The sequence below is a fragment of the Homo sapiens genome, chromosome 13 (genome assembly GCF_000001405.40).
Source record: "Homo sapiens chromosome 13, GRCh38.p14 Primary Assembly".
Classification (NCBI taxonomy): Eukaryota; Metazoa; Chordata; class Mammalia; order Primates; family Hominidae; genus Homo; species Homo sapiens.
The window spans coordinates 59,931,612-59,955,172 of NC_000013.11; the positions used below are offsets into that span (position 1 = coordinate 59,931,612).

A 23,561-nucleotide genomic window follows, 5' to 3' on the forward strand; every position below is an offset into this window, starting at 1 on the left:
CATCAGGTGCTCAACAAATATCTTTTGGATGGACATACATGTGGTCACTTGTGTGTATGTATGTATGAATTGGCAGAGTAAAAGAGAATAAAGAGGATACTCAGGCTTAAGCAATCAGATAGATGATAATGATGATGTTTATTTAGATAAACGATGGTGATGTTTATTTAATTCAGCAACAGTTGAGGAACAGGTTTGGACTAGTCCAGTTTAAAACATGTTCAGTTACAGAAGCTCTTGTATATCCACATTAGTCATGTACAAGAGGCAGCTGGACATACAGATGTGGAGAAGAGAAAATGGGAATGATGATACAGGTATCAATCCTAGTAACTACTCCACTAACTGTCACAGGTTTTCCAGATACCATATAACAACACTTTCATCTCCTTATTCCCAGAATTTAAAACTTGTTTCTGGTCTTGTTGTATTAGTTAAAATTTTCAGATGAAGGCTAATAAAAAAGTTAGTAGGATTCCCTTCCTTAACCTGACCAAATAGCAATCCTCAACTTCTCAGAAAATGTATACATTTTATTTTCTTGTCTTTATTCTTAAGAGCAGACTGTAACTTTTTAAAATGTTTACTTTTCTCATCATTATCAGTATCCTTTTACATTCTGAAACATTTCGTAGTCTACCTAAAGAAAAACGTCAAAGACACAAGTAACCGTAAATTTTAAATCACATTTACTGAACCCCTATTAAGTACTGCACTGAAGGCTTTCTGTTTCCGTTTCTTATATAATTCTCATTATAGTCATCCTAATACTACTACTAGTATCATTGTCATCATCATCATCACAATAAGGAAAAATAACGCTTAGGGTAATTTTAAGCAATAAATCTGATAAAAGAATGATGACCACCTGACTTGGACTCCAATATTCTTTTCACTATCTATGAAGTATGTTAGGTGTCACAGTTTAAAAAAAAACAAATACAAGCAACCTTCACCACTTCAACCTCCAAATAAGACACTGATATAATTTAACCAATTCTACCTTTTGAAAATAAAAATGACAAATTAGACTCACTTAATTTAATGTATCAGCATACTCAGGATGGTGAGTATATACCCAGTAAGGTAATCCTCTTCTACCATCTTCACTGCTATCATATAGTCATAGGATTGTTGGGACAAAGGATCAATGGAACTTAGATAGTGAGAATATGGACAAAGGGATACAAAGAAGCAGAACTGCCTAAGAGAGAAAACAACAGAAATTTTAAAACCAAAAGAGAAATACTTTTTTGTTGATATGAAGCCAGATAATGAGTCTATTATACAAAAAGATTGATTTGGAAAAATCTTTCATATTGAGAGATAACAAAAGTTTTGTTTGTTTTTTATTTTTTAATGCAATCAGGGCTGCATCAGTGGAAAACCAGCAAAAATGTTTTATGCAAAGACCACTGATAAAGCCGCACATAAATGTTGGCAACAATAAGGATGAATTAAAAACAAATGAGAATAAAGGAGGACATTTAGTGAGAATGAAGTTTTTGTACAAAATACTATTTCTGCTAGCCATGCTGGCAATACCTCTGGTAAAATACTAGCATGCCTGGAGGAAGGGCAGGGTCCTCTGTCTGGGAACTCAGGCCTGGAATCCTGACAACAGGTTCTACATCCCAGCCTGCCACATGCTAGTAGCTAAACCTCATTATGGCTGTGATTGCTCACCTATGATATAGGGATACTGGCCCTCTATGAGTAGTTGTGAAAATGAAATGAGATGATAAATACCTTCATGTAACCCTCCCCCTGTGGTGACAAAGAAGAGTACGATCAGAGTCCATAAACACAATTTAGCATTCAAGAGTAAAGCACACTTCAGGCTCAAACCCATGAATCGGTGGAGCTACTCTTCTAAAGCCAGTACAAAATACACTTACTCTGAAAGACTAGATTTTCTCAAATATAACATGAAACTCTGAATCATAAAGTCAGATTATTAGTGCCATCTATACTTGTGATCTAGCTTTGTTGCCATTAGAGTTTTGTGTTTAATCTTACTTCCTAGAGATGCTGTGTAAGGCTCCATTTTTCCAAGAGAAGATTAATACCGTTCAAAAACTGTTCTGATCACTAACACAGCATATGCAGCATTTTATAAGGGTTTTATGTCAGAATGAAGTCAAAGATGACAAAAGTTCCTATGTTGCCAAGAGCCATGAACTGAAAAAGTCTCTTTTAATTACATTTTCTCTTCATTCTTTTTCTATTTTCAAAGTTTCAAAAATAGTAGCAAAATTATGTAAAGAATATCATTTCAAAATCCTTTCTTTCATACTAAATTTTCCATTTAAAAATCATAATTCCATGTCACATGGTTATACATATTATTCCAGTTCATTTTCCATTATGTACTAATCAGATTGATTAAAAATATAGCTTTTTAGGAGTAAGATTTCATATAAATGTTATCATACATTATTTCACCATTGCAAAAGAAAAAACACCTCAGAATATGCAGTCTTAAATGTTTTAGTAGTCAGTATAGGCATAAAAGGTAATAAAAACCAGTTTTCTCTTTCTATAACTGAGTATTTTAAATCAGTAAATGTTACTAATAAGTGTTTACTCTGCTTTTGTTGGTGCTCCCTGGTTAAATGTATCTTATGACAATAGGCACTTAAAATATTAAGCCTTTTAAGTTTTTTTCTGGTATGCCTTTAGCATAGATATTATTAAATTTTACATGTTAATGTTTATAATAAATTACCTTTCTAAATAGACTGTAATTACACTAGCCTTAAGAGTATGAAAATAAGTATATCTGAATAAATAAGCAAGCATTCTTCTCTATGACACAGAGAGAAGATAATAAATTCAACTCAACTAAAAAAATAAAGTAAGCAAAATAATTTACCTAGAAAATGAAAAACACCAGTCCCTGACAGTCTTCAAATGGGGAGATATCTATGAATTACTTGCATAATGGCTGTTATTTTTCTTTGCCTTCTAACTCATGAGATTCTAAGAGGCTGATAAAGAGTATCAAAATTTGAAAGATACAAATTTTTGAACCAGAACGGCCCTTCAGTATGGACTTTAACCACCTCATTCTATAAATCAGGAAACCTAAGCAGAGAATATAAGCTACATGCTGAAGGTGGCACAAGGCTTGGCTATGAGCAGACCTGAGACCAGGAACTGACCACCACACAGCAAGCCTAGAGCATCCTCTGGGACATGGAATTTGCATGAGGAAAGCAGTCTGCAACCAAGCACATTAGAAAGGATAACTCCCCACACTTTGCATTTACACTTGATCCAAATTTTCCCTTGCTGTACATGTTCACCAGGACAGTTAGTGGAAACTGAATAGGCCTGAGGGAGGGAAGAGAAATGTTTAGTCTCCAGAACACAATAAACAGGATTTAAAGCTTTGGGAAATAACTACACAGTTGACTCTTGAACAACACGTGCTTGCACTGCACAGGTACACTTATATGCAGGTATTTTTCAATAAATGTAGTCAGTTTTCCATATTGACAGACTCCCATTTGCAACCAAACACAGACTGAAACTACAGTATTCTCAAGAAGCAAAGCCTGTGGATATGCAAGGTCAACTGCAGGCTGGGCAGAACCAACTTTAGGACTTGAGTATGTGTGGATTTTAGTATCTGTTGGGTTCCTGGAAATAATCCCCTGCAAATACAGAAGGATGACTCTGGTTCCAAAGGAAAAGTCAAGAATGCGCCTATCACTACCTCTCAAGTAGTGGGTAACTTTGCTTTGGATAGGGTTCAGTTATTCAGCAATATAGTAGAATGGAATACACTTGATAAACTTAAAGGTCAGAAATGGAGAATAGGCAAACGACTGAGAAAAAAACTAAATTTCTGAGAGTTAACAATATAGGTGGTTGATAGGACAATATGGTTTCAAAGAAGGTTTAGGTAGCTCAAAAGCAAATGATACAGAATACATAGGAAAAAAAGTCAAAAAATTTGGAATGTTTTTATGAGATGGCAATAGACCGTTGGGAAAATATCGAAGTAAATGCTTTGGTATTGAAAATCACATTGTATAAATCACTTTAGTCATATCTGGCTTCCCAAACCAAGTTTTAATATTTCTAGGCACATAAATAAATGGGTGTGTACCTAACTACATAGAAAATAATCAGTGGAGAAACAGATAGGCTATTTTTCTATTCAAATACTAATATATGACTGCCATAACTAATCAGGATATTTTACTAGCAAAAAGAAGTCTGTTTGACAATTCAAGGCTAAGAATTATATAATATATAGGAAGAGTAGCTGAAGCCCTAAATAAAATTTTGTGAAACAGATTATTTCAACTGTAGCAATCATAAAAAATGTAGCAGATAAATGCGTATTTCTCTTTCTGTGACATTCTGTTTTAGCAGACAATGTCACAAAACAAACAGTCTTGAAGGTCTTTTTTCTGCAAGTCAAGTCCTACATGGACAGGAATAAGAATCTCACTACTTAATAAACCCTTCATTATGGGTATATCTAGATTTTTTTTAGCCATAGTCATATGTACAAAAGAACTGTTAAAGTATCGGGAAATACCTTGTTAAAAAACTTAAAGTACATACCTCAAAACAATAAAGATTTTTACAAAGGCTACCTAAAGAATGCTTCCCCTACCTCTTTAATCCTATATGAAATTAAAAATCAAAATATTTCATAAAAACTGCTTAATATCCAAGGACCTTCTAAATTATAATAATTAGCAACTTTGCTCATCTCAAAAGTACGACCCCTACAAAAAGAACCATTTTATTGAGGTCTCCTTGGGTATAATCACCCCCTCATAACCAAAGATTTAACTAGCAGAAAAACAAGAGTTCAAATCAAATAAAATATTAACACCATTCAAAATAACAGATGAAACAACTTTTTAAATTCACAAGCTGTGGATTAGGGAGAAAAATAATCCTGAAAAGTTAAGCCTATCTATCACATATATCTTAGTGTTAACTGGGTTCATTACAATTTGAGATGAGCTCTGACTGAATAGATCTAAGGACTGAGAGAAGAAAGTAAAAGATATCAGGAAAGAGAGTTCAAAACCCGACTGAAGGAAAACTGAATCCTGTTCTAACATCATCTATCTTGGCTCATCACAACTTCTCCAGAAAACATCCATAAATTTTTATGTGCCCTCAAAATCTCACCACCATAAGAAATACTTCTAGTATCTGGCCCCTGTGAATTCTTCTTGAATGTTGGTGTTTCCCAGTCATGGAATCATACATGTATATTCATAAAAATTAATTTGTCCAGCTGGGCACGGTGGCTCACGCCTATAATCCCAGCACTTTGGGAGGCTGAGGTGGGCGGATCATGAGGTCAGGAGATCGAGACCATCCTGGCTAACATGGTGAAACCCCATCTCTACTAAAAATACAAAAAATTAGCTGGGCGTGGTGGCGGGTTCCTGTTGTCGCAGCTACTCGGGAGGCTGAGGCAGGAGAATGGCTTGAAACCGGGAGGCAGAGCTTGCAGTGAGCTGAGATTGCACCACTGCACTCCAGCCTGGGCAACAGAGCAAGACTCCATCTCAAAAAAAAAAAAACATAATAATAATAATTTTTCCACTATTTTTACGTATAACATTCTCTCATATGTTCTCTGATGGTAGAAATATATCTCTGCTAGAATAAATTACAAAACCAACTCTGAAAGTTAATGTATGACATACGAAGACATATACAAAAGAAAGTACAAGAGAGGAGAAAAGTCATGAGTGAGAACTCAGTGTACATTCCTAATTTAGAAGAACTAAATCCAAATGATAACACAGGTAATTCAGGATCTCTAGCATGGTGTCGAATGGAAAGAGTTGATAAACCAGCTTACTAGTATTTGTACACACAATGCTAAGCAACTTGAGACTAGAAGAAGTAACAATACATTATATTAACAAACAGATAAAAAGCAATGCCACATTAAATCATAGGCAGACCATCCTGGCATATTCCTGGGGAAAACAGAACACAATCATCAAAACAGCCAGAGTGATTATCCAAAACTTGATAGAAGAGAAGTGATCTGACACAAAAATGACCATTATTCCAAAATACTGAAAAAGAATTGACTGACAGCAAAATGGTCAAGCTTAAGTAGTAGAATTTTACAATAAACTTACTTCTATATTTGATGACAGCATGCCTATAATTTTGTGATCTTGTTTTGGGAGGTGGGGAGGCAGGGGAGGGGACGGGAAGCAAAAAAAGAAAGAAAATGCTTTATTGTGTGGGGAATGGAGTGTGGGTGTGCCAGGGTAGAAAAGAGGAGGAGAAGGTAGAGACAATACCTAGGTATTTGTTCAACTGAACTCAACTTTTATTATCTGGACTTTCTGATACGTAGTTATCCTGTCTCTCTCTCTCTGCTTTTACGTTCTTGTTTTTGATAGCTCAGTTGGGAATTCAAGTCACTTGCCCAGTTTCTCAGTTATTAAATCTTTATTTCTCTGTGCTCTAAGAATAATGCCCCAGTTAGCATTCCAGATCATTCTGGTCTCCAATTGGTCTAGCTAATTGGAGTTCCATTATTTGCCTGATCTGTGTTCTAGAATAAACTATTCTGTGCTAGTTTCTGTCCCCACAATCTCCTGAATTTGGAATTTTTATTAATCTGGGCTGTTAAAATTTGTAGTTCTATGTTATCTTACCTTCTGGCTGGAGCTTGTGTTGTGTACATCCTATATAGCTATTTATAACACCCGGCTTGCAGTGGCACAGGCCTGTAATCTCAGCACTTTGGGAGGCCAAGGCTGGAGTATTGCTTGAGGCCAGGATTTCAAGACCAGCCTGGGCAACAAAATGAGTACTCATCTCCACAAAAAACGTAAAAATTAGCTGGGCATAGTGGTATGTACCTGTAGTGCTAGCTACTCAGGAGGATGAAGTGGGAGGATCACTTGTGCCCAGGAGTTTGAGGCTGCAGTGAGCTAAGATCATGCCACTGCATTCTAGCCTGGGCAACAGAGGCAGACCTTGTTTGGAAAAAAAAAAAAAATTAATAAAATGCCCAGCTCACATACAGACCTCTTTTCCACTGTACCATCTAACTGCAACCCAAATGTTCCATATACACTTCCCTAGTAGTATAAGGAGGTGAGGTTAAAGGAAGACTAGCAGGATTCATTTTATATTGTGATTAGAAAATGATATTTTTAAAAATAATCTTCCTGAGAGAGTAGAGAATGGGGAGTTAGTGTTTAATGGGTACAGAGTATCAGCTGGAGAAGATAAGTTCTAAAGACGGATGGTACTGATGGATGCACAACGTTAGTGTTGCTAATGCCACAGAACTGTACAGTTAAACATGGTTAAAACGGTAAAATTTTGTTATGTATTCTTAACCACAACATTTAAAAATAGAAAAAAATTTCTTTATGAGGCTTGATTTCAAATCACTCATTTTAATTTGACCTCTTGATTTGAAAATTTATGTAGGAATCATGTAGTTAAAATTTTGCTTTGTCAAATGAAGAACAAAAATCTAAGTGGCTGTAAAATTAATCAGACCAAACTGGGATCATTTAAAATGTATACGTTCTTTCCCAAGAGGTGTTCAAAGGCAGAGTTGGTCCTTATTCACTGCACACCTCAAACTTATACATTGGTTTGACTATTTATATAATGATATAGATAATGCTGTTACAAAATAACGATTTCTCTTCTACCTCTCACCCAGATTACCTCTCCAAATTGTACAAAGAATTTCATTCTTGGGCAATTCAGTGTTTCAAGAACCTAATCGCATTTCTATTTCCTTGAATACCCAGCTCTCAGATTTCTAAGCTTATAGTAGCCCATATCAATTACTCCGTCATTAAAGGTGCATAGTGATAAAGCCAGGGCAGACTTTTACATGAAAGGAAGATCTTCATCTTTTCCTACACAGAAACTGACTCTCTTCAGCTTCTTGTTCTTTGTCGCATAAAGACAGGTGGCACATGGATAATGTATAGAATTAGATTCTGGAAAGGAAACCCAAGCCATCCTTATGCTTAAAAGCCTCAAACCATTTACCCAGGACCAGAGACCAGGGAGATGTATTTGGAATATTCAGACAAAAGCCAAGTTAACAATGAAATGGCTCTTTATCTAGGTTTGTTGTGGATCCCTGTATATACATATTGACTTATATTGACTAAGGCAAAGTCACCTTTTATTTTCTAGTTAAACAATACATATGTATATGTATCTACAGGGAGAATGAGGCGTGTGTGTGTGTGTGTGTGTGTGTGTGTGTGTGTGTATCACTAAGGAATCCCACAGGAAAAATGGAGAGCTAAGCCAAGTCAGGATTCAGAAATCCCTGGATGGTTTATAATCCTTCAAGCCCCAACAAAAACTCCAAAGAATATAAAATAAGCAATACTTTCATCCCCTTGCCAATGTCCATATTTAAAGTTAGGCTACTTATAAAATGAAAATCTCCCAATGTTTTCGAGCCTGCCCCCACTCCCCTAAACAATCTTACCTTCAGTGTAACAACCAAATCTGCTATTAAAAAGAACGTACTTAACAGAGCTGTATTGTGAAATGGGGAGCGAGGTAACCTTTCGTTAATGGGAATGCAGTGGCTTAAATTGTATTAGAAATCTCACTTTAAACTCAATTACTTTACAATTATGTTTGGCCACCTGACACTTGGGCAGAGAAGAATTAACATCTTAGTGAAGAAGAATCTTTACAAGAACTGAAATATCCCTTACTGTAAACTCCCCAACCTAACTAATTAAAAACTATCTTTAAATGCTTCATGAAAATGTCAGAAAGTAAAAGTTTTTGTTCAAAAGACATACACCAACAAGCCAACGCAGAACAGAACAATACTAAACAGAATACCTCTGACATCCAGGAACACCTATTAATTGGGACTCTGGCTCATGTCAAAATTTCTAATCTCTAAAATGTTTGAATAAATCATATTCATATGCTTAAGACTATTTTACTTCATGTTGGAAACATCAAATCTGTATTTCATATAATTTCTTGAATTTCTGTAAGACTCAAATCCTTTTTTTCCCAATTAAAATGGACAGTGGGATATTATCTAATGGACAGTGGAATATCATCTAATTAAAAAAAATCTCCAATAAGAAACCATTATTTCCAATAAGAAAACTAACCCATAAGAGGCTAAGGGCCTGGCAAATGAAAATGAGGACTCTGGACTCTCATTCTTGTGCTGATGCCATCCTGGCCATTCAAAGCCTATCTAGCCCATCAGTAGAAACTGCAAATGTGATGACAGAAGAACTAAATGAAATTAAAAGCAGAATGACTAAGATTCATTCTACCCTGCAGAGAAAGTAGAGCCAGATAATAATTGGAGATGATAACTGGAGATTAATATTTTTCTTTCCTGAAATTTGTCCAATAGCCTTGCCATTTCAGGATCAATGGCATTTATTTCCTCTGGGGAGAAAAGATAAACCCTAGAATAAGAGGTCATTCCTGAGCACTGAGTATAAAATTAGATTTCTGTTAATATCTACAGTGAGACAATAGTCTTGAAAGCTATGTGGTTCAATTGCAAAAGCTGGTTACTTACAGGAAAAAAAATTAATGCAGTCACAAAACATTCCTTTAACTATATAAAACTGAGAATAGGGCCCTACTATAAGGAGTGGCTAGGAAGGATGCAGCACATGAGAAAAGGACAGAGTGTCAGACATAGGGAAGACACAAAAGCCCTTCCTGGGCCAAGAGAGAACTCGCAGGGGATCAGAAGGACAAGATCAGAATTCATATACACCTCTGGAGGGTGTGCTCTCTTCCTCCTCCCTCATGGTGCAAGGCTGAAGGAGAGCCACCTGGGGAGTAACTCCAAAGAATAACTAAATAACTAAAGAGATATTAGAGACCCCCAGAGCAGAGGGTATTTGTGGCCAGCTTCCTGTCTGGACCTCCACAGGAAGACCGCCTCACAGAAGCCTCTACCAATATGGGGCAAGCGCTAGAGACAAAAATAGTGCATAGTATGTTTAGACAAGTGTGCTTGTGACAATATCTTGCTTTGTAAGTGGTTAATGGGAGATGTAAAAGCACTAAAAGAGTCAGCGGACATATTTTCAAAAAATATTTACTACGTTGCACTAGATTTTTCAAGTAACAACTGAAAAATTCTCATTGGATATAAAATCCCCTGCAACTCAATTAGGAAAAAAAATGTATACTAGCAGCAAATATCATATTTCATATTTCAAAGAATAAGGCAGCAAAGAAGGATGGCAAAAAAAATCTATTTCTTCCCAATATGTACATGCAAAGGCCCAAAGGCATTATAACATATAAAACACGTATTTCTATTGACCTATGTAATACCTTATCTCAAATTATCAAATTTAACATCTTATCCCCATACTTAGCTCTTTTGGCTTAGTTTCCCAAATACTCATAATGATTTCTCAGCTTTTCACAAGCTGCTCCTTCTAAGCCTGAAGAAGATATATATGATTTTTCACTTCATCAATTACTTCCATCCTCAAATTTGAGCAAATATTCTTCAGGATAACCATTATACAGATTTCCTTCATTACAAATGAGTGTCCCTTTTGATCACAGGCACCATTTGGAATAATTAACTATCAAATATATTGCTTTCTGAATGGAGTTTATTGAATTAATGTAACCCTGTGTATGTAATATACTTGACAAAAATTTCTTTCACTTTGAAAAGCTAAGGTCATTTCTAAGCTGTAACTTTAAAAATAAAACAAATGACTCACAGATCTTGCAACAATTTTTTTAGATTCATTTATATTGACTAAGGCAAAGTTGCCTTTTTATTTTCTAGTTAATACACATCAAAATATATAAGGATTTCAAAAAAATCTAAACATGCTATTCCAGCTAATTGCCATATTATTCTAGATTTGTCCCCCAGGAAAAGATATTGACTTTTTAAAGTTCATTGTGAAACAATTCAAACAATATAGAAGTACAATTTTTAAAAAGTAAAGTTTCCCCACACATTAATACAAATATTCCCCAAAGGAAACTATTGAAATGATAGTTATTGTTAACAAAAGCTACTGCTGGTAGCCTTCTGAAAGGCTACACATATAAGTGTATAAGGGTGTACATAAACAAAAAAGATGTATACACATGTATACAAATATACAATTGAAGGGTTTTTTTCCTTAATTAAATGAGCTCATACCATATACATTATTTTGCATTTTACTTGTTTCACAAAGCAATAAACCCAGTGTAATTTTCCATGTTCATATGTCTAGATCAACAACATTTGTTTTAACAGCTTCATAGCATATCACCTGGTACCATAATTTGGCTACATATAATAATTTAGCTATTTTCCTTATTAATGAGCATTTAAGTTGTTTATAAATCTTTGCTATCAATATTACTAAAATATTCTTGCATATTTTTCCATATATATATAAGCATTTGTTGCATCTACTTTTAACTGTGCCGATGTAATAATCTCGTTCTCTTATGAGAAAAGACATATGATCAATTTAACACCGTTAGCACATTTCCTCTTCTATCGAGTCTGAACAAAATGGGCTTTCTGGTTTTTAAAAAAAGTTTATTTTGGCAGTTTATTTCTTAATGTCAACGAAGATCAGCAGTTTCAAAGAATTGTAGAATGTTAAGCTACCAAGAACTCTTATTTTATAGATATGTAACTAAGGCCTGGAGAATTGATTTCTCCAAGGCACACAGCTACCTAGTGGTAGATTCAAGACAAGAAATCGGCTTCCTGCTTCTAGACCACTGTTACTGTACCACACTCCATTTCCTGGGGAAGGACGAACACAGACACACAGGACCAAGAAAGCCCTGTTAGAACAATAATAGCAACTGGAAATGTAATAGCTCTCAATATGGAGCTCCTCTGAGGGCTTCCCTGTCATGATAAAGAAAATCTTAATCTATTTCGTTCATTCATTCACTCACTCACTCCCTCCCAAATCACTGAGTTAGGCTCTCTATAGAAGAATACAGAAAAGTCAAATGTTAAGGCTTGCTCATAAAGAATCTCGGTTGAAATTGGAACAATAAGATGTGAAGATGTGAAGATCTATTGGAACAATAAGATGTGAAGATATAAAATTATACAATAACATAATCATTTATATAAAGTGAAAAGCATTACAGAGTTCAAGCAAATTCTGATATTTATTCTATCAGAAGCCCAGTAAAAGTTTATTAAAAGGATAGTAAATTTTTCAATGACCAAAGGCTTTGATTGGCCTCAATTATTTGAGGTCTCACTAATACTTATTAATAATAACAATTACTACTATTTCCTTGAGGCCAACCAAGGGAAAAGATGATGGAGGCTGGGCACGGTAGCTCATGCCTGCAAACCCAGCACTTTGAGAGGTCAAGGTGGAAGGATCACTTGAGGCCAGGAGTTCAAGACCAGCCTGGGCAACATGGCAAGACCATGTCTCTACAAGAAAAATTTTAAAATTAGCTGGGCATACTAACTCATACTTGTAGTCCCAGCTACTTGAGAGGCTGAGGCAGGAGGATCCCTTGAGCCCAGGAATTCAAGGTTGCAGTGTGTGATAATCATGTCACTGCACTCCAGCCTGGGTGACTGAGCATGACACTGTCTCAAAAAAAAAAATGATGGAGGACTTAGAAAGTTAAAAGAGGCAATAACATCTCAGTAGATGGACCAGGAAAATCTTCACAAAGTAAATGGTATTACATGTAGGCCATGAATGATTAACAGGGGACAAAACTGGAATGCATTCCTTTCCTCTCTTCTCTATGAAGAGCTATTTTCCAAATATAAATATATGCATTTGTATACATACAGAGAAAGAAGCAAACTATGGCTCTGAATAAGTTTTCCATACAGTGTAGAAGAAAATTTGACTAAAATATAGATGAATCCAAAAGCTTTAGGCATTTGCAGTTTTATTTTCTGGAAGACAACTGGAGAATAGGAACACTTGTTTCAAAAATTATCACACATAACCAATCTTCACAAGGAAGCAGAATCGTAAGGACTCAAATTTGGAAAGAAAAATTGATAGATTTGACTTCTACTGCTACCCATACCTTGTGTACAATGGGATTTTTGATAGTTTGTTTAAATATATACATTTATTATTAATGCATAGTTGAATTAAAAACTACTATGTTTAACACTAACTTGTTTCTAGCAACTTTTCTGTGTGTTAGAAAAAAAGGGGGGGGGCTATTATCCTTTATACCTCCTTTTAGAACCTTTTAGAAAGGAGAGAGGCAAAACATGTGGAAAGAACTTGCCCTTAGTAATCAATCTTTCCAGGCTCATAACTGGCCACTAACTAACTTGTAACACCACCACTCCCTCTTGCGGGCCAGCAACACCATCATCAACATCTACATAACTATGCCCTAAGCTAGGGGTATTTCAATATTGTACCAATGCTTCCTTTGCCCCTACCACTCCTACTGCTGGATTGGCCCTCACCTTCCTCCCTGCTTTCAAAAATCATATACTCATGCTTCAAAACAACTCAAATGTTTCTTTGAAGATTTTCCAAAAAATCCACACCTCAAATCTCATCTCCTGCCCTTGTCTCCAGTCACACTAAACTTCTGATGGATCCTAGATCACAGATTCTTTCCAATCTGAGGACCTTCCATGACTATCCTCTCTAAACACACCCCTCATCATACCTTGCTCATTTACTTTCATAGCACATTCAAAAACTACAGTCATTTTTGTTGGCCTATTTATTTTCTGTCTTCTCCATTAGATTATATACTATAGGAAAGCAAGAAGTTATCTGCTCAGCACTGTATCCCAGGAGCTAGGACAGTACCTTTCATGGGAGAGGCATCCAATGTTATTTGCTGCTTGGCTGAATAACTGTTCAGCTGGCTGCATGATTTGCCATGATGGACCCAGTAACCAAAACGAGAGCCCTGCTTACTGATAGCAGATAGCTGCAATCCTAGGCATAGTACTAAGTAGCAGCTAGCCTTGAGGGAATATGACTTGTATATCCAATTTCACTTGCTGACAGAAAAAAAAAAAAAGCCACACTAGCACTAAGACTTAAGCACTTAATACAATAGGAATCACAGAGCTCTGAGAAGAAATAGTCCTTAAGCACAAAGCTGCTGGGCTAGGAAATAGGGAGGCCCTCTTCCACAGAGGAATATTGACATGAGAACCAGGGTCAAGAGGTACAGGTGAGTATTTCTGTCCTGTTTCCTTCATGACTCAAGGTTAATTTACAAGTATTTTCCATAACAATTATAATTTTACCAAAAAAAGATTAAAAATCTATGAATTAAAATTTAAATGAAAGCTTCACATATTAAAAATATGCTTACGAAGAAAAAATGAAGACGAACACTCTGGCTTATTACTGAAAGCTTATACATTAAGTAGGCAGTGAGTTACAGAGAGCTGTCTCCATAGTGGACATAAAAAATAAGAAAATATTTCTCAATGATCAACAAATAACCCAAATATGTCAAATGATATCTCTACTGGCAACACTTTTATGGCTTCCATACTTAGCGCTCAGATTTTTTTCATCTATTAAATGAGAAAATGATAGCTATGATCTAGTAACTTTACAATCCTATGATGATTGAACAATCTTCCACTTTTTTGTACTTCTGTTACATGTTGCAAAGCATTGTGTTCCTATTATATTGTCCTTTCAGCTAAAATGGTTAAGTAAAAACAAATATTTGCACAACATTTTACAGTTTACAAAGCACAGAATCCAGTTTGGATACAATGCACCAAGTTCAAGATTATTAATGATGGGGAAAGTGATGAGAGAAAAAAACCTCCCGAACACTACCTGATACCATTCTTTACATTGTTCATTTCTTCCAAAAAAAGAGAAGTATTTGAAGTTTATGCTCAATAGATAGCATATGAAACACAATGTTCACAACAATAAATTTTAAAAGTTCCTAAAGAGTATATAGACAGCTAATTTGAAGTAGCACACAAATAAACAAATGCTAAAAAAGCACTTGAGTCATTTAAAATACATGCAAACACACAAAGAGAAACAAACATGTTGCTGATGAGTACTGGCCCATGCTTACCTACTTAGACAGCTATTGTGTACAATATTTTAATTCAATCATACTTAAAATTGCAAAGTTATTCTTCTAAAAATGTAAGTACATAACGGATATGTTATTTTTTTTAACTATACCACCACTGCCAGGCACAACTTTAAAATAAAATGTAATACAAAAATGAGAACATTTGAAAATCTGGTACGATAAGGGAAAAAAACTCTTAAGATAAAATGGATGCTGAAGTGTTGAGTTGCACCCAGGGGTCAACAACATTGTGTCTATTATTCAGCTGAAACACAGAATTTGCCTTTAGATACCATTTTAATGTTAAATCAAGAACTGTCAATCAGCACCATTTGTTTGTAATCCCTCATCAGAACCCATTGCCTCAGTCTGAACATTCATAGGAAAGAATGCAGAGGGCATATCTGCAACCACTTAACCTTCATCAACCAACATTCATGCATGCTCATTAACATTTTTTTCATCCCACTTTCGAGCATGACACAGCTCATACCGGAATAATAACTCGCTGATAATTGTTCTAGACAACAGCTGGACAGGCAGAGTGCAGAGGTGAACATTCTCATAGATTATGGGGTACTGTAATGCATTACAATTAGTAAAAGAGTCACATGTTCGTGTTGAATAGCTTTCAACAGAAGTGAAGGAAATGTCATTATCACAAACAGCAATCTCCTCTAACTTTAACTCTGCATGGTCCACCGCCTGATTCTCTTAACGCTTTCCTATTTTGAAATAAACCAATGAAAAACATTGACCCTGTTACTGTACTATTTCATGAAAAGAAGTAATATTTTTGATGTGTTACAATCAGACACGATCTAAATTTGTGATTTAATTTAAAGACAGAAAAGCAGGAGGAGGGAGAGGAGGAGGAAGAGAAGAGTTTCACATCTTACTAATAACAATTGTTTTGAGCATGATGGTGTACACCTGTAGACCCAGCTACTCAGGAGGCTGAGGTGGGAGGATCATCACTTGAGCCCCGGATGCGGAGGATGCAGTGAACTGAGATCATGCCACTGCACTCCAGCCTGGGCAACAGAGCAAGACTCTGTATTTAAAAAAAAAAAACAAACAAACCACAATCGTTTTGCATGAAGTCCCATAAAATCATTATTTATTATTTTTGCTTTAAACTGTCAATTCAGAAAAATAAATTAATATCACTGAAGAAATCTGGAATATCAATAAAAAAGGAGTCCTACATAGGGAAGGGAATTTAGAATCCAGTCCAACATCCTATTCATAACAGCTTTGATAGCTACTTCTTTGCCATAATGCAATAAAAATAAAATGGAATTAATATGATAATGATAATACTAGTTGCCATTTTTAGAGTAATGTGAGTCAGGTATCATACCAGGCACTCAACAGACACAGTCTCTTAATAATCCTAAAAGTAGTATTAACTCTCTTTTTCAGATGAGAAAATTAAAGCTAATCTGAAAGAGACTGAAAATTCATCCCAAGTCAAAACATTATGGAGACAGGATTCCAACCAGGTAGTCTGATTCCAAAGCCGATGCTTTTCACCTGGCTTCATGGTTAATTTCCACATTAGAATCTTGTTTATTTTCCATTATTTCATCCCAATTCCTTGGCTGTACAATTCTTTGACTCTGTAGAATTAGACCTATTTCTAGAAGGTCTTTATTCCAAGACATAGCATTTATACTTCCACATTTTCTACTCTCCTTGTGTCCAAGAAACCTGCTCTTAACACTCAGATAATCTCTAGTCCCTGTACGTCTACCTAGTTTCCATTACACTTAGTTTTTGTTGTTGTTGTTTTTAGAGATGGGGTCTCACTTGGTCACCAAGGCTGAAGTGCAGTGGTGTGATCATAGCTTACTGCAGCTTCAAAACTCCTGGCCTCAAGTGATCTTCCTGCCTTGGCCTCCCATGTAGCTAGAGCTACAGGCATGGGTTTATCAGGCCCAGTGTGTTTTTTCGTATATATGTTGGGTGTTTGTTTTTGTTTTTGCTATATTGCCCAAGCTGGTCTTAAACTCCTGGTCTCAAGCAATCCTCCCACCTTGGCCTCCCAAAGCACTGGGGTTGTAGGTGTGAGCTACCTCACCAGCCCATGCTTTAGATTTTCTAATCAAACTTCTTAATGTGGTTCTTTCTACACCCTTTCTCTGCCTTGCTTGACATAAAAAGAAAGAAGGAAGGAAGGAAGGAAGGAAGGAAGGAAGGAAGGAAGGAAGGAAGGAAGGAAGGAAGGAAGGAAACTTCAACAAATTTCATTTAAAGATCTAATTTAAAGATCTTATACATGATTCATTAATCAGGTAGCATCTCATCTAAAAATGTAGAAAAGTGCCACAATAAACTGAGCAGAGATGGTTGATTTTATAGCTAGAGAAGGGGTAAAGAAAGCAGGAAGAAGGAACAAAAAACAGACTGGTCATTTTTGAGTTACTTTCTTTATAGGGTTAAAACAGGGGACTTCCTTATCATATAGGCTCAGGTAAAATAGGCCCCTTCTGATTGGCTGCTGCGAATCTCCTATTTTTCAGAAAACTGGCACATGTTAAAGTTCAATTTGATTAAATGGCACCTAGCACAAGTGACTCCATTCTGGTTTGATCTGGCATGTTAAGGCCAAGTGCAACAGCTTAGTAAAAGACAATGGCCTCCCATGAATTTTGTTTAGCAACATTTAGTCACAAATATCTGGGAGAGGGGAATCAAGAAACCTAATAGATATAACAGTCTATATCTCTAGTCCTACTTGTGATTGGTGCTCCTTGTTGAAGGAAATCACATCACCTGCAATGGGATCTACTATAATTTAATAATATAATCTGAAATAAAACCTCAGTAATATAACCAGGGTCAGCAAACTATAGCCCCATGGGCCAAGACCAGTTTGCTACCTGTTTTAATAAATGAAGTATAAGAGGAACACATATATGACCATTAGTTTATATAGAGTCTGTGGCTGCTTTCACACTGCAATAGCACAGCTGAGTAGCTGTGACAGAGACCATATGACCTACAAAAACAAAAATATTTACTATTCAGTCTTGTATAGAAAAATGTGGCCAACTTATAATCTGTAGTGGAGATCCATAACAGTATCTTGAGTCAAGCAGATAACAATAAAACCTATTTATCTTTAGCCTAAAATCTACAGACACCAGCTTGATTCACTCTATAATCCTAAATCATCCCATGCTCTGCTTTCTTCCCAAAATCTACCAGCTAATGATTGTCTAAACCTCGTGGATCACACTTCCTCAAAGAGCTTTTATAGCTAATGTACTCCCATGGAAGTAACCTAGATTCATAAATTCATCACCAATGCCCTTGGTAATAAAAGTAGTCTCTTAATTGACATTCCAGTTTCTGGACTTTACCTACTGCAACACAGAGCTGTGTGATACTAAGGTGTCATGCTAAAACATAGATTATAATATGTTATGTCTCCATTTAAAACTTTGTGACAATATAATATTTTAATTTATTTATAAACGTGACAGAAGAAAATATAAATGCCTAGATTTTGCATATAAACCTCCCTAATGTAAACACAACTCTTTCTAGGTTCATCTTCCAGTGACATTGTCCCATATATATCTTCTCATTCTCAAACACAGAGCAGTATATTTCACTGCTGATCTTTAGCTCCCAAGCCTACGTGTTTCCCCAAACACCCCAGCAGCACATGTTTCAGTGCCTTTGTTCACACTCTTGACTTCCTCTCCTTATTTGTACGTTCACTCATCCATCCAACAAGCTTATTAAGCAATGATAAACATCAGACACTGCCCTGAGTAAAAGGAGTAGAGTAGGCAGAAGACATAGTTCCTAACCACTCACACAACTAAGAATTTTAGTAGAATTACAAACCAGAGCTATGAATGAAAAATAAAGGGCACTGTGGGGTTGAATCACAAAACCTATGCCAATCTGAGAAGTCATAGAAATCATTTCCCAAAGGAGATGACACATAAGCCAAGAAATGAAGTATATGAGGTGGGCAAAGTGAAGCTATCTCCTTCATGATACTTTTCTAATTATCCCAATTAAAATCAACAGGTTTTTAAATATACTTAATAGCTGTGATATAATGACTAAATGTAATACTATACGATCAGTCAAGATATGAAGGCTATTTAATAGCATGAGAAATATGTGGAAATAACTATATATATATATTGTTATTTACTCTAGCAGTATAAACACTGCTAGAAAACAAAAGTTTTGAAAAGCTTAAAGGAAATTTAAATTCTACGATGAAATTGAATAGTGTAGTGGAGTTTAGGGTGGTATTTTTTTCTTTCATCAATTTTCTAAATTTTCTGTAACATAATTATTCTATAATGAATAAATTATGGCAGCTTAGGTAAACAAGCTTTATATAATCTTAATGAAATACATAAGTAATGTTTTATGTGTACTTAACTATTAAGACACTGATGAGGTTTGGTTGCATCCCCAACCAAATCTCCTATTGTAGTTCCCATAATCCTCATATGTTGTGGTTGGGACCCAGTGGGAGGTAACTGAATCATGGGGGCAGTTACCCTCATGCTGTTCTTGTGATAGTGAGTGAATTCTCACAAGGTCTGATGGTTTTATAAAAGGCATTTTCCCCACTTCGCTCAGCACTTCTTCCTGACATCATGTGAAGGACGTGTTTGCTTCCCCTTCTGCTATGATTGTAAGTTTCCTGAGACCTCCCAGGCCATGCTGAACTGTGAGTCAATTAAACCACTTTCCTTTGTAAATTACCCTGTCTCAGGTATGTCTTTATTAGCAGCGTGAGAATGAACTAATACAGACATACATAATACTGTATACTGTATTACCTATAACACATATATCTTTCATGTAAAATTGCAAGCTTCTCAGTCATATTTATGAATCTTCTGCCATCATTCACTCAATAAACTTCATAATTAAATACTATTTTGATCTTCATATTTCCCTACTTAAAGACTTTATTAGTTTCTATAATAGGCATTAATATACTTGATTTTCTGTTATGTCCCATCAAACTTTTATAAAAGCATCACTTTCAGTAAAATTTTGAGGTTTTTAAAGCTTAAAATCAACACCTATAAAAAATTAAAAATAACAAGTGTGGGCAAGGATGTGGAGAAATTACAACTCTTATACATTGCTAATAGGAATGTAAAATGATTCAGCTACTGTGGAAACAGCTTAGCAGTTCCTCAAATAGCTAAACATAGAATTACCAAATAATACAGCAATTCCAATCCAAAGTATTTATCCAAAAGAATTGAAAACAGGTATTCAAATACATGTACACCAATGTTCACAGCAACACTATCCACAATAGCCAAAAGGCAGAATCACCCTAAATATCCACCAGTGAATGAATGGATAAATCATGGTATAAAACTACAATGGAATATTATTCAACCATTAAAAGAAACATAGCACTGACACATGCTACAATGCATACTCAAAAATATTATGTAAAGTGAAAGCCAGATACGGTAAGTCACATATTGTGTGATTCCACTGATATGAAACATCCAGAACACATAAATTTATAGGCAGAAAACAGATTGGTGATTGCCAGGGGCTAGGGGAAGTGAATAATGGGGAGAGACTGCTTAAGGGGTCCAGGGTTTTACTTTGGAATGATGAAAATGTTTTAGAACTAGATAGAGGCCGTACTAAAAGCCACAATTATTCATAGTTAATTTTATGTGATATTAAGTTTTATCACAATTTAACAAAAATCAACACCAAACAAAGGAGCAATTTTCAGGAAAAATACCTACAAAATGTGTTAGAGTATGTTTGCTATTAATTGCTCCTGGTTTGTAGACACCAATCAGGGTGCATCCAACAACAACACAGAATTTACCTATAATTTTTACTTTCCTCCTTCTTACTTTTTGCTGCTAAAACAGAAGGAAAAAAAAGGTGAATCATTTTAGCATCTAGGTCCTGAACCTATTCCACTCCCAACCACCTTCATTATTCTCTGAATTTTTTTAACCTAATTTACAAGAGTCTGCTATTCACTCAGAGCTAAAGTCATCAGAGGCAGAGTTAATTGGAATCTAGATCATTTAAATATTTCTACTCCCCTTCCAAAATTTCCATTTGCTTAAAATGAAAAAAGACAGTTTGCTTGAGGAGGCTGAAATTATTGCATTTCTGCTTTAAAGAAATGAAAAAGCATTCATTTATCCAGCAAACATTCAATGCCCATATGTGCCAAGCATTCTTCTAGGTGCTTGTGATACATCAGTAAATGAAACAAAGAGCTCTTTAGTAAAGGAGCTTAAATTCCAGTGGGAGTAGGGAGAGAATAAGACAACATACCGAATATATAAGTAGCTAACAGTATGTTAGAAGGAGATAAATGACATGAAAACTACAACACAGTAGAGAAAATGGGGATGGCGTGAGGACAAAGGAAAACATGGCAGGATTAATTTGGGAGTTGAGCATGGGAACCTCATTGAGAAAGCGACATTTGAGTTAAGACTTGAAGGTGGTAAGGGGCTCATGGAGCACATATCTGGAGCATGAATGTTCCTGGCAGGGAAAAGCCCATGGCAGGAGTATACCTGGCATATCTGGGGTACATCATGAAGGTTGCCCAGTATGGTAGAAGTGAAAGAATTGAAAGAGAGGTAATAGGAAATGAAGTTGGCAAGCCAAGGAGTGGGAGAATAAAATGTTTCCAGAAGCTTCAGCATTTTCCAGATACTGAGAAAAAAGGGCTCAACTGTTTGAAGGTAGAAAGAGAACTACATGGAATGTGGAGGACAGGGGCAGAATCCAGGTGGGCTCTCCAATGCCTGGTGAAAGACGTACTCTAAGTCAGTCAGCCACAGCTCCCAGAAGGAACCAATAGGAATTTTGGTAGGAGATAAAGAATGGGTAAGGATTACAAATTAAAACACTCAAGGATAAATGATGAGGACAAAAGGAAGGGGCAATGAAATGCAAAGCCAAATTTAGAGAAAAAGGAGACCAATGTTACTGGAGTAAACGATGTGTAGAGCAGAAAAGTAACAAGGAGAAAATAGCTAGATACACAAGTTAGACCTGATTGCAGAAGGCTACAAATGCCAGACTGAGAAGTCCCTTTTCTTTTTAATCTTTTCGTATGTGTGCATACAAAGTATATGATAAATGGGATATTCCTCAGGACCATAAATCTGAAGATAGTTTGCATTATTGTCTTTAAAAAAGAATATGAATAGAAAGAGCAATTTGGAAGCTATTTTTTTAAAGAGGTATTTGAAGAAAGTATGTAATAAATGAAAGGCTATCGCTGTTTCTAAGTGTCAAGAAACAAAATAAGGCAAAATAGGAGATGTAACTGTGCTGTATAAGTAGTCAGGGTTCCTGACACCAAGGTCCATTCCATACCAATGCATAAGGTCCTTCAAGATGCACCTAGTATGCTCTCATGCCTTTCCCTCCCTCCTGTTCTCTAATGTCTGTGAACAGGATAGAGAGGAAAGAACAAAAGTTATGAAGTCAAAAAGTAAATTCTTGATTTTCAACTCCTTTCTAATAATGCAACCTTGACAGACAGAGTTTTAACTTTTGAGTCTCACCCTCTTACATTAAAATAAGGCAAAAGCCTAAATTACAAATGTGAGGACTGGGCACCATCCCTGGGGTTATTATGCAAGGCACTCATTTTTCCTTTAACTTGTAAGTTACTTCCTTTATCTCATTCCCTTTTGCTTCTAACAGCTGCTCTGGCCTTATAACCCCAATATAATCAAAAATAATGATAAAATTTGGGTTATTATGGTTGTAGGACATGCTTATTCATCAAGAACACATTCACAAAACAACCGTCTTAATAACGGATACCTCAGAGATACAAAAGTGGACAGGGGATGACCATGTCAGGTGGTTAGTTGACTTCTCTGGATTCAACTCTCTTATTAAATAATATAGGTGTGTATTAGTCCATTCTCACACTGCTATAAAGAACTACCTGAGACTGGGTAATTTATAAAGGAAAGGGGTTTAATTGACTCATAGTTCCATAGGCTGTAGAGAGGGCATGACTGGGGAGGCCTGAGGAAATTTATAGTCACAGCAGAAGGACAAAGGGGAAGCCAGTACATCCTATATGACTGAAGCAGGAGGAAAAGGGAGTGAAGGGGAAGTAGCTACACACTTTTAAACAACCAGATCTCATGAGAACTCAATCATGAGGCAGCACTAAGGGGATGGTGCTGAACCATTAGAAACCACCCACATGATCCAATCACCTCCCACTAGGTCCCATCTCCAACACCAGAAATTACAATTCAACATGAGATTTGGGTGGGGACATGGAGACAAACCATATCAAGGTAATAACAAATGAAATAATCCAACGATTACTCAACTTTAGATTTTCTGGTTTATGGAATATTCTTTCATATATATATATACATGTATATATATATATACATGTATATATACACACACACTTTTATATATATTTGTATTTGTATTTGTACATATGTATTTTTATATATGAAAAATTC

General features: G+C 35.8%; 1 protein-coding gene across 16 annotated transcripts in view; it reads right to left on the bottom strand.

Annotated features, from left to right (window-relative positions):
- The window catches only part of DIAPH3 (diaphanous related formin 3), a 498,346-nt gene that overhangs the window by 266,029 nt on the left and 208,756 nt on the right, over positions 1 to 23,561 (bottom strand). The window contains exon 18 of one of the 16 annotated variants that reach the window (XM_017020789.1): positions 1,050 to 1,204. The exons of the other annotated variants lie outside the window; for them this stretch is intronic. Coding sequence (XP_016876278.1) covers positions 1,158 to 1,204 — 47 coding nt within the window. The 3' untranslated portion in view covers positions 1,050 to 1,157. Of the gene's footprint in view, positions 1 to 1,049; positions 1,205 to 23,561 lie in introns of those variants that run through there. 16 annotated transcript variants of the gene reach the window in all.